This window comes from Homo sapiens, chromosome 10, assembly GCF_000001405.40.
Source record: "Homo sapiens chromosome 10, GRCh38.p14 Primary Assembly".
In the NCBI taxonomy this organism is placed as follows: Eukaryota; Metazoa; Chordata; class Mammalia; order Primates; family Hominidae; genus Homo; species Homo sapiens.
In genome coordinates, this window is record NC_000010.11 from 123,747,084 (window position 1) to 123,760,095 (window position 13,012).

Sequence of the window (13,012 nt, forward strand, 5' to 3'; positions counted from 1 at the left end):
TCCAAGACCAGCTCCCTGGGCCAGAGAGAGACTCTCAGGCTGGCAACGTGGAATCCGAGCTCCTGCAGATGCAAATTCTTAATGCATTTTGGAAGCCCAGATGTTTTCCTCTCTGAAAGCTGCCTTAATGGTTTTAACAGGGAGGGGAGGTATAGGCTCCCCGCAGTGTCAATACACAGGAGCAAAGCTGGAGAGCCGATCACTAATGCTCTGTGACAATATGAGCCATTCATGATGAACTTGAACTTCCAAACAGTATGCCCTCGCCACAAAATGCCATCTTGAAAAGCCATCAGTGCAGGGCCTCCTGGCTTCCTTAGCATGGCTGCAAGTACACAACAACCATTTTTCAAAGGTGTGGGCTTTTCACTTCTGGAAAGAGAAGGAAAGGACTACATGGACTGAGGTCAGATGGCCCCAGAGAGGCCCTGGCACCTGTACCCCATTCCCTGGCTGGGGCCTGGAGAGACTTGGGAGTTGCAGGGCCATCTATACATGGACGCTGTGGGGCAGAGGAGCCTTGAGACCACATGAGACCCATGCTGGAGCTGAGGTGGTGCCCATGCCTCCCAGGTAACTACCAGCCGATTACCTCCCAGGCACCTAATGTGACCTGGGTCCATCCTCAGCTCTAGGCTAGATCCCTGTGGTGGGCACGGTGGTTCATGCCTGTAATCTCAGCACTTTGGGAGGCTGGGTGTGGTGGTGGGTGCCTGTAATCCCAGCTACTCTGGAGGATGAGACAGGAGAATCACTTGAACCCAGGAGGCGGAGGTTGCAGTGAGCTGGGATCACGCCACTGCACTCCAGCCTGGGCGACAGAGTGAGACTCTGTCTCAAAAAAAAAAAAAAAAAAAAGACAGGTTCTAGGCTGAGGTCTCTCCTCCCAGAGAGCCTACAACCTGGTGAGAACATTTAGATCCACAGCATATCAGAGACCATGAAACAGAAAAGGAGACACCAGAGGCCATCTTGGGGAACACCACCCACACGCAAAAAGACGAGGCTGGCACTGGCTCACTGAACACTCCAAGTGACTCTGTGATGCAGGCTGCATGCTTATTCCCTTTTCTACGTGAGTAATTTGATGCCCAGAGAGGTGTAGTATCCTGCACCAGGTCACACGGCTAGTAATCAGCAGTCTTTCGCTTGTGACAATCTGAATGTCCTGCCCAGTCTAAAGTTTTGGAGCCAGGTAGAGAAAAGGTTGGGTTTGATCAAGTACTAAGTAGGCCCTGGTCAAGGTTTGCTTATCTTAGCAAGTCCTGAAGTCTTCTAACGGATGGAAGAAAACTATGTGTGTGTTTGTAAATATACGTCTCCCACATACACAGATCTATAACACTTCGAAGCATCATGTTGAAATCATGCACATTCTAATCTCAATTCATCCAAGACACCCCGTGCAATACACTGAGCTCACAGGAGCACAGGACATGATGGGAAATGAAATGTGGAGGCAGTCGTTTGCCACATGTACATCACTAAGGAGCTGAATGGAAAACAGGACTCCATCTGAGAGGCCCAGGTACACGCTCAGGTGGGCGGCTCCCTGGCACTTCTTGGCGCTGTGTGCTGGGTCTTTTTTTAATGAAATGGCAAGTTCTTCAACTAAATAAAATGCCACATTAGACCTTTTCAGGAGCACGTCGACAGGCTGAATTATGCCATCAGGTGACTCGAGCCTCGCAGCAAAGTTTGTCTTTGGAGATCTCCCTCAGGGTCCCCACAGTCCCTGACAAGCCCGAGCGAGCCACCTCCTCCACGTGCCCTCCCTGTCCTCTCCCCTCTCCATGCTACCAGGCAGTATGTCCTTGAGAGTGGAAATGGCCTCCGCTTCCTGCCTCGGCCCGGTGTTAAAGCTGTAGGCGCCTGAAGAGCCCGTGTTTTCCTCTTCTGTGCTCAACATGCGTGCCATTTATCCTCCTGGACTGAACGCCGAACAGGTCTGAACATTGGTTTATCTGAATGGGCTGGAGAGAAGTGAGCAACCAGGACAGCATGTGGCTTACTGGCCTGAGAAGCAGAGCATATTAGGTCTCAGCTACCAAGGGTGCTCAGAGGGGATTAGTTAAGGCCGAGAGCCTGCCCCCACCAACAGCTATTGTGGGGCGCTGGACGTTGGAGGCCCCTGGAAGCAAACCTCTCAGTGGGAGCACCTGACTCAATGGCACTTGGAAGTTGGTTTAAATACCTCAGGGAGGGGGCAGCCCAGGTTCTCACCAAGGGAGGTGTTCAGTAAGCTGAGCAGTGAAAGAAACCCACAATTAATGGTTATCAGCATAACTGGCTCAAGTTCATATTTCTAATAAGAAGCCTTTGTGATTCCCCTTATCCCTGCAAAAGCCAGAAGAAGCCCTCCCTGCCCCCTCCCTAGTCCACCCTCTGTGCTGTCGCTGGCCTTCTCATACACATCATGGTGCTTACTCCCTAAACCTGCTGTTATCGCAGGGCCACATGGCGATGAAATCCAAAGTCCTTGGGTGGCCCGAGCCTCTGGGGTCCCAGTTCCTGCCCTCCCCTATTGTATCTCACACCCCTTTGTTCCAGCCATTCTGAGTGCCTTGCAGTGGTGTCTCAGGACACACACATCTCACATCTCTGGGCTTTGCATATACTGTTCCCACTGCTGTTCCCAACTCCTGTGCCAGGTCCACTTCCTTTCACCCTTTGTAAAGTCAGGCCTTGCAAGATTCCATTTAAATGCCTAGAGTTCGTTTCTTGTTTTGTTTTGTTTTTTGAGACGGAGTCTCACTCTATCGCCCAGGCTGGAGTACAGTGGCTTGATCTCAGCTCACTGCAATCTCTGCTTCCCAGGTTCAAGCAATTCTCCTGCCTTAGCCTCCCAAGTAGCTGGGATTACAGGTGTGCACCATCATGCTCGGCTAATTTTTGTTTTTTTTTTTTTTTTTTTTTAGTAGAGATGGGGTTTCACCATATTGGCCAGGCTGGTCTTGAACTCCTGACCTCATGATCTGCCTGCCTTGGCCTCCCAAAGTGCCGAGGATTACAGGCATGAGCCACCATGCCAGTTCTAGAGTTTATTTTTAATAATGAAAGCTATTCTTACTAATTTTCAAGAAATTTGTTCTGTCCTTGTGGCCCTGTCAGATAAGCCCTCTAATTTTTGAGGAGAAATAGACAAGCAGGTGGAGACAGTGTTCCTGAGAGCCTGAGGGTTCACCCCATTCAGATAAGGGCTCAGTGCTTAGAGCAAAACCCAACGCAGGTCCTGGGGGCCCCTTCCACATCATTGCACTCCACTGCTCCCAGCCGGCCTCTCTCCAGCCACACAAGTCTTCCTTTTGTTCCTTGATTCTTGACTCTGAGCCTTTGCAATTACTGTTCCCTCCAACTGGAATGCTATTCTTTGCTCTTCTAAAGGCCAGCCTGTGTATGTCCCCTTAGGGAGGGACCCTTCCTTGGCTTTCCCACCTATTTGTAAATATCACTTAATTTATTTTTTTCATGGCACTGATCATAGTGTGTAGTAAACTTTTAAATCTTCCTTTGGAATTATCTCTAGGTCTCCTTCACTAGAATGTGTACTTTTAGAGGTCATATTTGTTTTGCTCACCGCAGTATTTCTAGTCTGGTACACAGTAGGAGCTCAATAAGAAAGGTCAAAAGAATGAATACAACGATCAGGACTGTGTGTGGGTTCACACAGTCAGAATGAGGGGTGTTGGCCATGTCATCTCAAAGCTTCTACTGCAGAGACATGGATCTGCCTGATGCCCTCATTGGCCTGGCAGGGCACGCTGTCCTCAGTTCTTGGCTGTTTTCCCCATGTCTTCCTTGAGGCTCTCACTTTCTCTGCTTCTGTCTCTAACCACTGGAAAAGTCTGGAATCACTCACATTATGAAAAGCAGGAGATGCAGTGTTGGGCTGTTGTCCCCATGAGTGCTCAGGTCTGTGTTCAGGGTGAACCTTCTAGGGAGCTGCAGTGGAAGTCAACACATAATGGGCATCCCGGGCATTCATGCGTGCCAAGCCTGTCCCGCAGACTCTGGCCAAGAGATGGATGAAAGAAGTATGCAGACACAGGTATTTTGCCTGAGCGTGTGGCTAGGGAACTGCACGGCTTAGCGCCACTGACGAGAGTGCAGCACCCATAAGCCAGAGATGTTTGTATTTATTTAGTACAGATTTAATGACAAAGGCTTGGAGCAAACACAATTTGTGGGTAATTAACATTGTCGACCCCCCGAGTAGAGAGCAGTCCTGTGTGCAAATGATCAAAGGTTGATATCTGGAGACATAAGTAAACAAATTCATCCAAATAAATTCCTTTACATTCCCTTGTTATCTACCCTTTGCCCTTCCGAAGTTTTGCAAAACGTCCTGACCTTCTAAGAAGGTTTGCGTCTTTCCTTATAATTTCTCCCGCCACCCTGACACATCTCCTATACGTGGGCAGAAGGGGCAACTCAGGCCCAAAGAATGTCCACACAGGAGCAGGTCAGTTCAGTACCCACCAAGCAAAGGACAGGCATGTGGAACGGTGAGCCGGGTGTCTGTCCAACATACTGATATGCATCTAACTCAAAGCATTCCTACCAGCTTCCCTCCCTGTGGAATTCCATTTAATACCCCTGTTTATTTTATGCAAAATCCATCCCGAAATAAAACTTGTCAGATCACATAAACCTCAGATAGAAATCAAGGCAAATTCAGAGCTTTTCTTGAGAACCGAAAGATTCTGAAACAGAACAAAGAGCCGTGTGTAAAGTATGGAGTTTATCTGTCATGAGAATACACTGGGAAATTATTTATAGAGGGGAAAATCAAGGGAGGGAGATGCATTTCCCATTAGCTCATCAAAACTGTCTCATTGATTGCAGGGGCTTGAAACTCAGCACCCATTAGGCAAAGTATTCTATCTTGGCTTATGAGGCCCCAGGGTCTTTTTATCTCCCACTCAGTTCAAAACTCCCACATTTTCTCACATTGCATACAAAGCACTAAATAGTCAAGGAATGTTCTAGGCTCTTTTAGAATTGTCATTTCAAAGGAGCTTCATTTGTAATGTTTAAAATACAAATCCTATGCAGAACCACATCACACAGCCTTTCATGCATAATGATCGCCAACACTCTGCGTGGTCTCTGGCACATTCCAGCTATGCAATCTACATTTGCTGAATTAATTAAGGAATAGTGAATAAATATATGAAAAAAATGAACACCTATGAGGGGCTACTACGTACAAAATTCCATGGTATTCAGTGTGAAGCCTCATGGTTCATGGCTATAAGATCAGTGACAAATGGTAGGAATGTTCAGAAAATATTATTGAGCAAAGAAATCAGTAACTAGATGGGAAAAATGCAATTTATGGCATTACACAGCAATCTACTATTTTGTGGCATTTTAGACACATTTCCCCCATTTACATATTTGGTCTTTTATGCCAGGCCCACTGCTAGGGAGCCTGGCAATGAAGGATACATGGGCCAGGTCTGAACCCCAGCCTCGCCTCATCCTAATGTCCCAAAGTCTGCTTCCTGGCAGGTGGAATGGGATCTTTTGTTGGCACGACAGGATCATGGGAACAGTTTGCAGAGAAGGAGCCTCTCCTCCCTGTTCAAGAAAAATGGCATGGAAATAAAGGAAGGAGCACCAGATTTGAAGTCTCCAGTGCTTGGCTCAAATCATAGCTCTGCCACTCACTGGGTAATCCTGGAACATCACGGACTGTTCATCCGCCCATTCACCAACAAGTATTTATCGAGCATCCACTGCTCAGAAGTGGCCAGGCAGGGTGCTCGTAATACATTGAGGAACAAACCAACAAAACAGTCAAGGGCTCCTGACCTCATGGGGGCGAAGAGACAGAAACAAATCATGAGCAGAGTACACATGAGCCTCTTACGTGGTGTGTTAGAAGGGAGACATGCCACGGGGAAGGGACAAAGTTGGGGCAGGTAAGAGGGACCAACAGTGCAGCGGGGAGGTGTGCCATGCTCATAGGGGTCAGGGTTGGTTGCACTGAGAGGGTGACGTCTGAGCAAAGACCTGAAAGGGAGGAGGCAGGAACCCAGAGACCCCCCGGGGAAGAAGGTTCAGGTGGACAGAGGCGCCGCAGTGATGACCCCCGTGTAGTGTCAGTCCACGGGGATCAGTGGGAAGTCAGATCATGGGACAGTCAGCCCTGTTTGCCTAGGACAGAGGTGGGGAGTGGGACACAGCATTTTCAGTTTTAAGTGGGGAATCCCAGGTCATGACAGCCCTGTGGCACAAAAGAAAAACCTGGACTTGTCAAGCACCTTTATTTTCATATCACTTTCTAACCAGCAAAGAACAGGGCAGAGTCCTCTGGGACCCTGAGGGGCACCTGCAGGGCATCTTCCAGCCCACCTGGGGGTCAGAAACCTGAAGCCAAACCCCACTAACCCCTTAACCATCAGTGGGTCACTGCCCTCCTTGAGCTTCTGTTTTTCACCTGAATAAGTGGGAAAGAATGGCCTGTCTCCCTCAAAGGGATAAAGTGAAAACAACTGAGAGAAAGCATGTATGAGCGTTCTTTGAGAACAGATCGTGTGGGGAACAGCTCCTTGTTCCTGCTGTTGCTGAGTGATCCAGGGGCAGCCTTCTGCTGTCCTGACGTGGTACGGCCACTTCATATTTGGTTTATAAAACCCTGGGTCTTACAATTTCTTTTCTTCCACAGCAAAGAGAGTTGGAATAAGATGTCAGCACTGCCTTTTAGAGATCATCCTCTGACCCTCAGATTATCCAAGTTCCTAGAATTTTGTACCCTCCATTCAAAAGGGAATCACGCGTACTAACCCTGACTAGTTAACACCATGAGACACTCATCCCTTCCAGTGAGTGGGAGCTGAGTCTCCCTGAAGCATTTCATCTAATGACAGCATCAAGAAAATACAATTTATGTGAGGAATGATGGAGTTAAATGACAGAGCTAATACAAGAAAGCTATTAAGAGAGTGGCATATAGGAGATGCCCACGTTTATTGTTACTGTTATTCTTATCCTACCCTTCACATTACAGACACCTGAGTCTTCCTAAGACATCACGCTCAGTGATTTCCTGTGCTTTAATGGAAAAAGTGCATCCTCTCTGGCCAGTCCCAACCCACCCCTCCAGCTGTCCTCTTGCTGCTGGTCCCTTCAAACTCTCCACTCCTCCACAAGTCACCCAGTCTACAGCTTCTCCCTCTCCGGAGCAGCCTGGCTCCCTCGCTCCCTGGCCCCTCTGCACTCATGGACACAGGCCACATTCCACCTGGTCTGAGAGCTAAGCTGCCTGCAGATGCAACAACTCCATGGAGACAGAGCTGCTTCCTCAACTCCTTAGAAACTTCCACTGTGCCTGGAGGCCAGCTGGTGGCTGCACAGCCATCCTGTGAAAGGGACAGCGAGCAACCAGCAAGCACAGGCTGAAAACCTCCCTTCCAAGGGTCTCTTGAAAAGTGGGAAATTTAGAGGAAGGAGACTGTAATTTGGCTCTGAGTAAGACATTTCTGGCAGTCATTTCATGATTGTAACCCAAGTAAAATGCCTAAAAAAATGGGTATTTCTTACCAAGAGACAGTCTGCACACATTTGCAGTTACCTGTTCGGATGTCATGGTTAATGCCTTCTACGGAGATAATGGCGTTTGGGATTCCTTTTCCATGTGAATCTCTCACCAAGCCTTTAATGCCACGATGAACCTGCTCAGCAAACATGAGACACAGGGTGAGGTCACCGACCAGCTCTGGACACAACCGGCACAACAGAGTGGGCTGTCAACCCACCATTGGCCGGTTCCCACCAAGAACTCACACAGCACCACGTCTTGCTCAGAAGGCTTGGAACCGAAAAGCAGTTCATTGCTCACTGCATTGTTGGGTTCAATTAACAAGGGCGAGGTCTTAATGTAAGAAAAGTGAACTTATTTCTGAAGCTAGCATTAGGGAAGCATCCTGCTTTAAAATGTGCCACTTATCCTTTGGAGCAAAAAGCTGATACTTTTATAAGGGGAGGGGGCTAGTGAGCAAGGGCAGCGGTCCCCCTGCTAGCCTGGTGTCTTATCTACCAGATAGTTGAGCTGGCACCTTCCTGGGCAGAAATAAGTTGTAGAAGTAGCCAATGGGCATGCTTTCGGCATGCCCTCTGAGGCCAGCCCCTGGAGGTGGGTGGTCTGCCTTGGAGCACAGATGAGCTTGTCCTGCAGGGAATGTCTGCTGAGGGGGAAGTGACAGGTTATTTTGCATTTCAAAAAGGGCTAAGTGGGAAGCAGGGGAAAGGAGAAAGGAGGAAAGAAGAGAAAAAAGCCAGTTAAATTATCTCTTAGAAAAATAGGAGTCCTCCAGTTATAGGATTGCCTGGCTCTGTGTGGATTTGGAATGTAAACTTCTGCATTTCTTTTGGGTTCTTGCACCAGAAAGTCTTCCATTAGAATGTCCAGAGGCTTAAAAAATATTAGGATCTGAGACGGTTCACAGAAACACATTTACTAAAAACTGAAATTTAATTTTTATAGGCACATTTATTTTGACTTTGTGGGACTTGCTGACTTAAAAGTCAGAGGGAAAAGAAACAATTCAAAGAAACCTTCCTATAGATGACAACTCCATGCATAGACCCTTCCAATGACTTGTGTCATGCGATGCACTCAAACCTTATGCCTCAGTTTCCCCACCTGTAGAATGATGTGCCAATCCAAGGTGACATTCCATCATTACCAATGACTTTACGCATATTTCGAGGACTGGGCATTTTATCCATAGGAGGCCCTTTGGCTATGGCATCATTACTTAAGACTGATCAGGTTGTTACAGTCAAGTCTTTCTCTTTACAGGGATGCAAAAGAAAAAGGGCCTTCTCTTACAAAATTCCAGGGTGGGAACAGGAATTCCTTGAGTGAGAGGTTCCCCAAAGAAGGAAAAACAGACTCACACCCTTCTGTGCCAGAGCAGCTCACCGGGGGCTGGGTATCCCAAGACCATCATGGGACAGAGTCAGATGCTAAATCCTGGTGCCAACCTCTGCCCCCTGTGCAGAAGTGCAGCCAAAAGTGCCAGCCAAAGCCATGGGCTGAATGTGCCTTCTGACTCCTGAGCACAACCCATGGAAGGGGAACCTTGTGTCCAGCCTCAGAGTCTTACTTCCTAATGGATGGAGGTTAAGGTGGAGTCAGAATTAACACTTAGAAAAAAACAGGAGCCCTGAGGCTTGACACTTGTTTCTGTTTAATCCATTACTTTCCAGGTAGTCTGTTCCTTAGTGGGGCCCGGATACTGTTTGGTTAGTTGCAGAACTAGAACTGGTGAATTCACTAATGCTGCAAGATGGATGTGTCCTTGACAGCCTACGGCAGGGAGGTGTCCAAGGTTCTCAGCGGAGGCAGCAGCAGCCCCTCCCCAGCTGGGCAGCAGAGCCCAGCGGTACTTGTTAAAGCTGCTCCCAGGTCATTCACCTCTGCCACCTGCAACAGTGACTCTGAAGGCCTGGGAGGGTGTTAGGGACTCAGTTGTGTCCCCACCCCACCCCGACCCCCATATTCATATGTTGAAGCCCTAACCCCAGTATCTCAGAATGTGACTATGTACAGACGGAGCCTTCGAAGAGGTAATTAAGGGAAAAGGAGGCTGTTAAGGTGGCATCCTCCTAAGAAGAGGAAATTTGGACTCATACACAGAGGTGCATGCACAGAGGGATAACCACCACATGAAGAGGTGGCAAGATGGCAGCCGAGGAGACAAGCCTCCGAGGACACCGACCCTGTGGATGGCTTGGTTTCGGACTTCCGGCCTCCAGAGCTGCAAGTCTGCCTTGTAAGCCACCTGGTGTTTTGTGATGGCAGCCAGCGTAGACTGAGACGAGGGGCCTGGGCACATTGGCTCAAACACATAGCACCTGTTCCCTGCGGAGCAGCATCAGAGAGCTCAGGAACCAGTCCCAATTGCTCCAGGCCAGTGGGGACAATGACCATTGGTTTAGAGCTCTCTTCCCTGAGGCCTGCTCAAGTGTCAACACACAGTGGCTCCTCGCAGCACTGTGCTGGCCCAGGATGACGGCCAAGGTCTGAAGCTCTAATTCCATCCCATACTTTCAGCCACCTCGGCAGCCTCATCCCCCAGCTAGTCCCCCTCATCCCAGCCACACACCCGCAATATACCTGCTCCATGAACACGATCAGAGATTCCCGGTTATTCTCCCACTCCTCGGGCAGCTGGCTCTCATGTGGGTATTTATCACAGCCCACGTAGATGGACAGTTCGAAGCAGTTTGTATGAAGGTAGCTGAAATCGTTCAGACCTGCCAAGCCAACCGGACAACACTTTAACTGAACAATACTCAAAATGGCACTGGGGAATGCGGCACAGCGGGCAGCAAGGATGTTTAAGAACATTCGGAAGGCCTTGTTTAAACAGGGAGATATGAAGTATCTACTATAGACAAAAATTTGCATTAGAGCAAATGTGTGTGAGTTAGAAAGAGTTTGGAGAGAAGATGCAGCCGGAATGGTTTGTGGTGAGGACAGACACATGGAAGTGTGTCTTTGACAAAAGAAGAATTGAAATAAGTGCTATTTAGATAAAATACTTTATTAAAGTAAAAAAGTTTAATGCTCCTTTTTGGAGTAAAGCTATCATTCATGAACACTATAGGTTTTAAGTGTTTGATTAAGTTTATCTCTACAGTTGTGCTGTCTCAGCTATAGCTCTATGACAGTCTTCTATTTTGATTCCAAAAACTGCGATCCTTAACCACTGTTTGCCAAGTGCCTCCTATAAGCCAGGATCTGTCCTAAGCACTCTGCAGCCATTAGGTTACTTAATTTTCACCCCAAACCCAGCAGAGGTAGGCAACACAGCACAATTTTACAAATAGGAAAATTGAGGTTGAGAAGGGGAAGAATAGTACCCAGGACCTTGTATGTGTCTGGAAAGGGCCAGAGTCAGGGTTTGGGCCCAGGTCTGCATGCCCTTGCCCACAGCTCCGAATAGACCATCGCTGCTTGGGGACTCGTAGGCAAACCCACTCTCCCAGTATGCCTGAAAGCAGACAAGCCTTCTGCCTCCTGGCATGACGACAGCAGGACAGGAAGCCCCAGCCTAATGTGTAGTCGGTGTCTGGACTCATTTCCTAGGGCCGCTGTTATAATACAAATTACCACCAAATGGTTGACTTAAAGCAACAGAAATTTATTCTCTCAAAGTCTCAGAGGCCAGAAGTCTGAAATCAAGGTGTCTGTGGTCCCTCCAAAACCTCTAGAAGTGGGGGCCTCCTCTAGGGGAGGAGCCTTCCTTGACTCTTGCAGCTTCTGGGGGCCCCCTGGCATTCTTTGTCTTGAGGCCACATCACTCAGCTCTCTGCCTCTGTCTTCATACGGGCTTCTCTTCTTCTGTCTTGCTTCTGTCCCTTACAAGGACACTTCCCACTGATCTTAAGGCCCATCCAGGTAACACAGGGTGACCCCATCTGGAGACCTTGAATATAATGATACCTGCCAAAACTCATTTTCCAAATAAGCTAACATTCCCAGGTGTGGGGTTCTAGAAAGCAGACATTATCTTCTGGGGAGGCCACCAACCCGCCCACTATACTATTCAACATTTGTGAAATAAATAAATGAGTGTTTGATGGCATGAAGTACCAGTGGCTTCCTTCCCAGCATTTCTGTTTTTGAACAGGATGATGATTAGCAAGCTGCACTCTGCGCGACTCACCCAGTAGAAGGCCCCTCTGACCACCCTCCCTGGGCTCTAGGGTCAGGGTCACAGAAAGCAGGAGTGTTCTGTGCCTTGGACAACTTTCCTTCATTCTCACTTAGTGCACCAGAAGGAACCCTCTCCTGCGATGCTCAGTATCAAAACCATGGCTTTGGGGTGTCAAGAGCAACTCTATCAATCTGCTGCCTGGTCACTGAAGGCAGAGGCAAAATGGCATTAAGTATACAGCCACTCTCTACCCAATTCCAGATTCGAACCTTTCACACGTCATCAGCAACGGGCCTCTGATCAAGCCTGTGATGAAACACAGTGAGCGTGTTTGCAGTGAGAGCAGTGGAATAAAAAGGGTGGGACAGAGCCAAGTCAATGGAAAATCCCTCACATGGGCCCCGGTCTCATTGAAGGAGATTGGTCAAAATTCCTTCGGTCAAACCTGCAGTATGGAATTACAGACAGTGCAAGAAGGCCAGGGGGCAACAAACCACCAGGGAGCACAGGTTTCAGCTTTCCGGGAGAGCTGAACACCTGTCTACAGAGAAAATGATTGTCACTTCCACCCTTTTCGTCCTCATTAGCACTGAAATAAATGCGATATTTAAACATTCTGGAGTGAGCCTGCCATTTTGCAATATGTGTCTTCAGAGCATAGGAAGCTTTAGAAGAACTGGCAAAATGAGAAACCAGAGGGAGGTGGAGAAGCTTGGGCCATGCTGTCTTGCTGCTGCCTGCCAGCCTTCCAGAGTGTATCGCCTTGCTGAGAATACGTGGCCAGAGAAGGGCTTCAAAAGCAAAATGCGACTTCCTGTCTGAAGTGTGTGAACAAGGGGCCATGACGTGCCCCAGACAGTTCTTCACAAGCCTTCGGCCCTAGCTGGGGTGGTGAGACATTCCTTTGTGTTCTCTCCCTGACTGGCATCTTTCTCTTGTCACCAGCTTCAGCAGGGAAGGCACAGCCGCATTCCTTACAGCTCTGTGCATCTGATGCTACCACGACACCTGCCTTCACCGTGGAGGAGAAGGTGCAGGGTTGCAGGAACAGAGAGGGTCACAGGAGTCTGGAGTGAAAGCACACACACTCCAAACAATGTGCATTTCAAAATGCATTGACCCTTGCTCTCAACTGGGCCACTCCCCATTAACTAGTGCCTGGCAGGGCACAGCTAATGAGTGAGAAAAAAAATGGAACAAAAAGGTGGAGAGGAGAGGGAGGGGGAGGAAAGGAAATTACAAGTCACATTTCATTAATCTACAATGCAATGAATCTGCAGACTTCATCACACTGTCAGGAAGATGAATGATTAAAAAGGCTCAAGCTACCGCATGGC

At 48.4% G+C, this 13,012-nt stretch overlaps 1 protein-coding gene across 7 annotated transcripts in view, besides 1 other annotated feature; it reads right to left on the reverse strand.

Annotated features, from left to right (window-relative positions):
- The window catches only part of CPXM2 (carboxypeptidase X, M14 family member 2), a 198,466-nt gene that overhangs the window by 1,445 nt on the left and 184,009 nt on the right, over positions 1–13,012 (reverse strand). For 5 of the 7 annotated variants that reach the window (XM_017015673.2, NM_198148.3, XM_011539285.3 and 2 more), the window contains 2 exons: positions 10,130–10,269; positions 7,580–7,679 (listed from right to left, as the gene is read on the reverse strand). In XM_017015673.2, coding sequence (XP_016871162.1) covers positions 7,580–7,679; positions 10,130–10,269 — 240 coding nt within the window. Of the gene's footprint in view, positions 1–869; positions 1,974–4,119; positions 5,584–7,579; positions 7,680–10,129; positions 10,270–13,012 lie in introns of those variants that run through there. The other 2 variants (XM_011539283.3, XM_005269528.4) reach the window with 2 other exon arrangements.
- Positions 50–1,031: an enhancer, noted in NCBI's record as "OCT4-NANOG-H3K27ac-H3K4me1 hESC enhancer chr10:125506649-125507630 (GRCh37/hg19 assembly coordinates)". NCBI's record gives its function as "activates a minimal SCP1, AML or CMV promoter by ChIP-STARR-seq in naive H9 embryonic stem cells {active_cell/tissue: H9 hESC(naive)}" and the evidence as "EXISTENCE:reporter gene assay evidence [ECO:0000049][PMID:30033119]".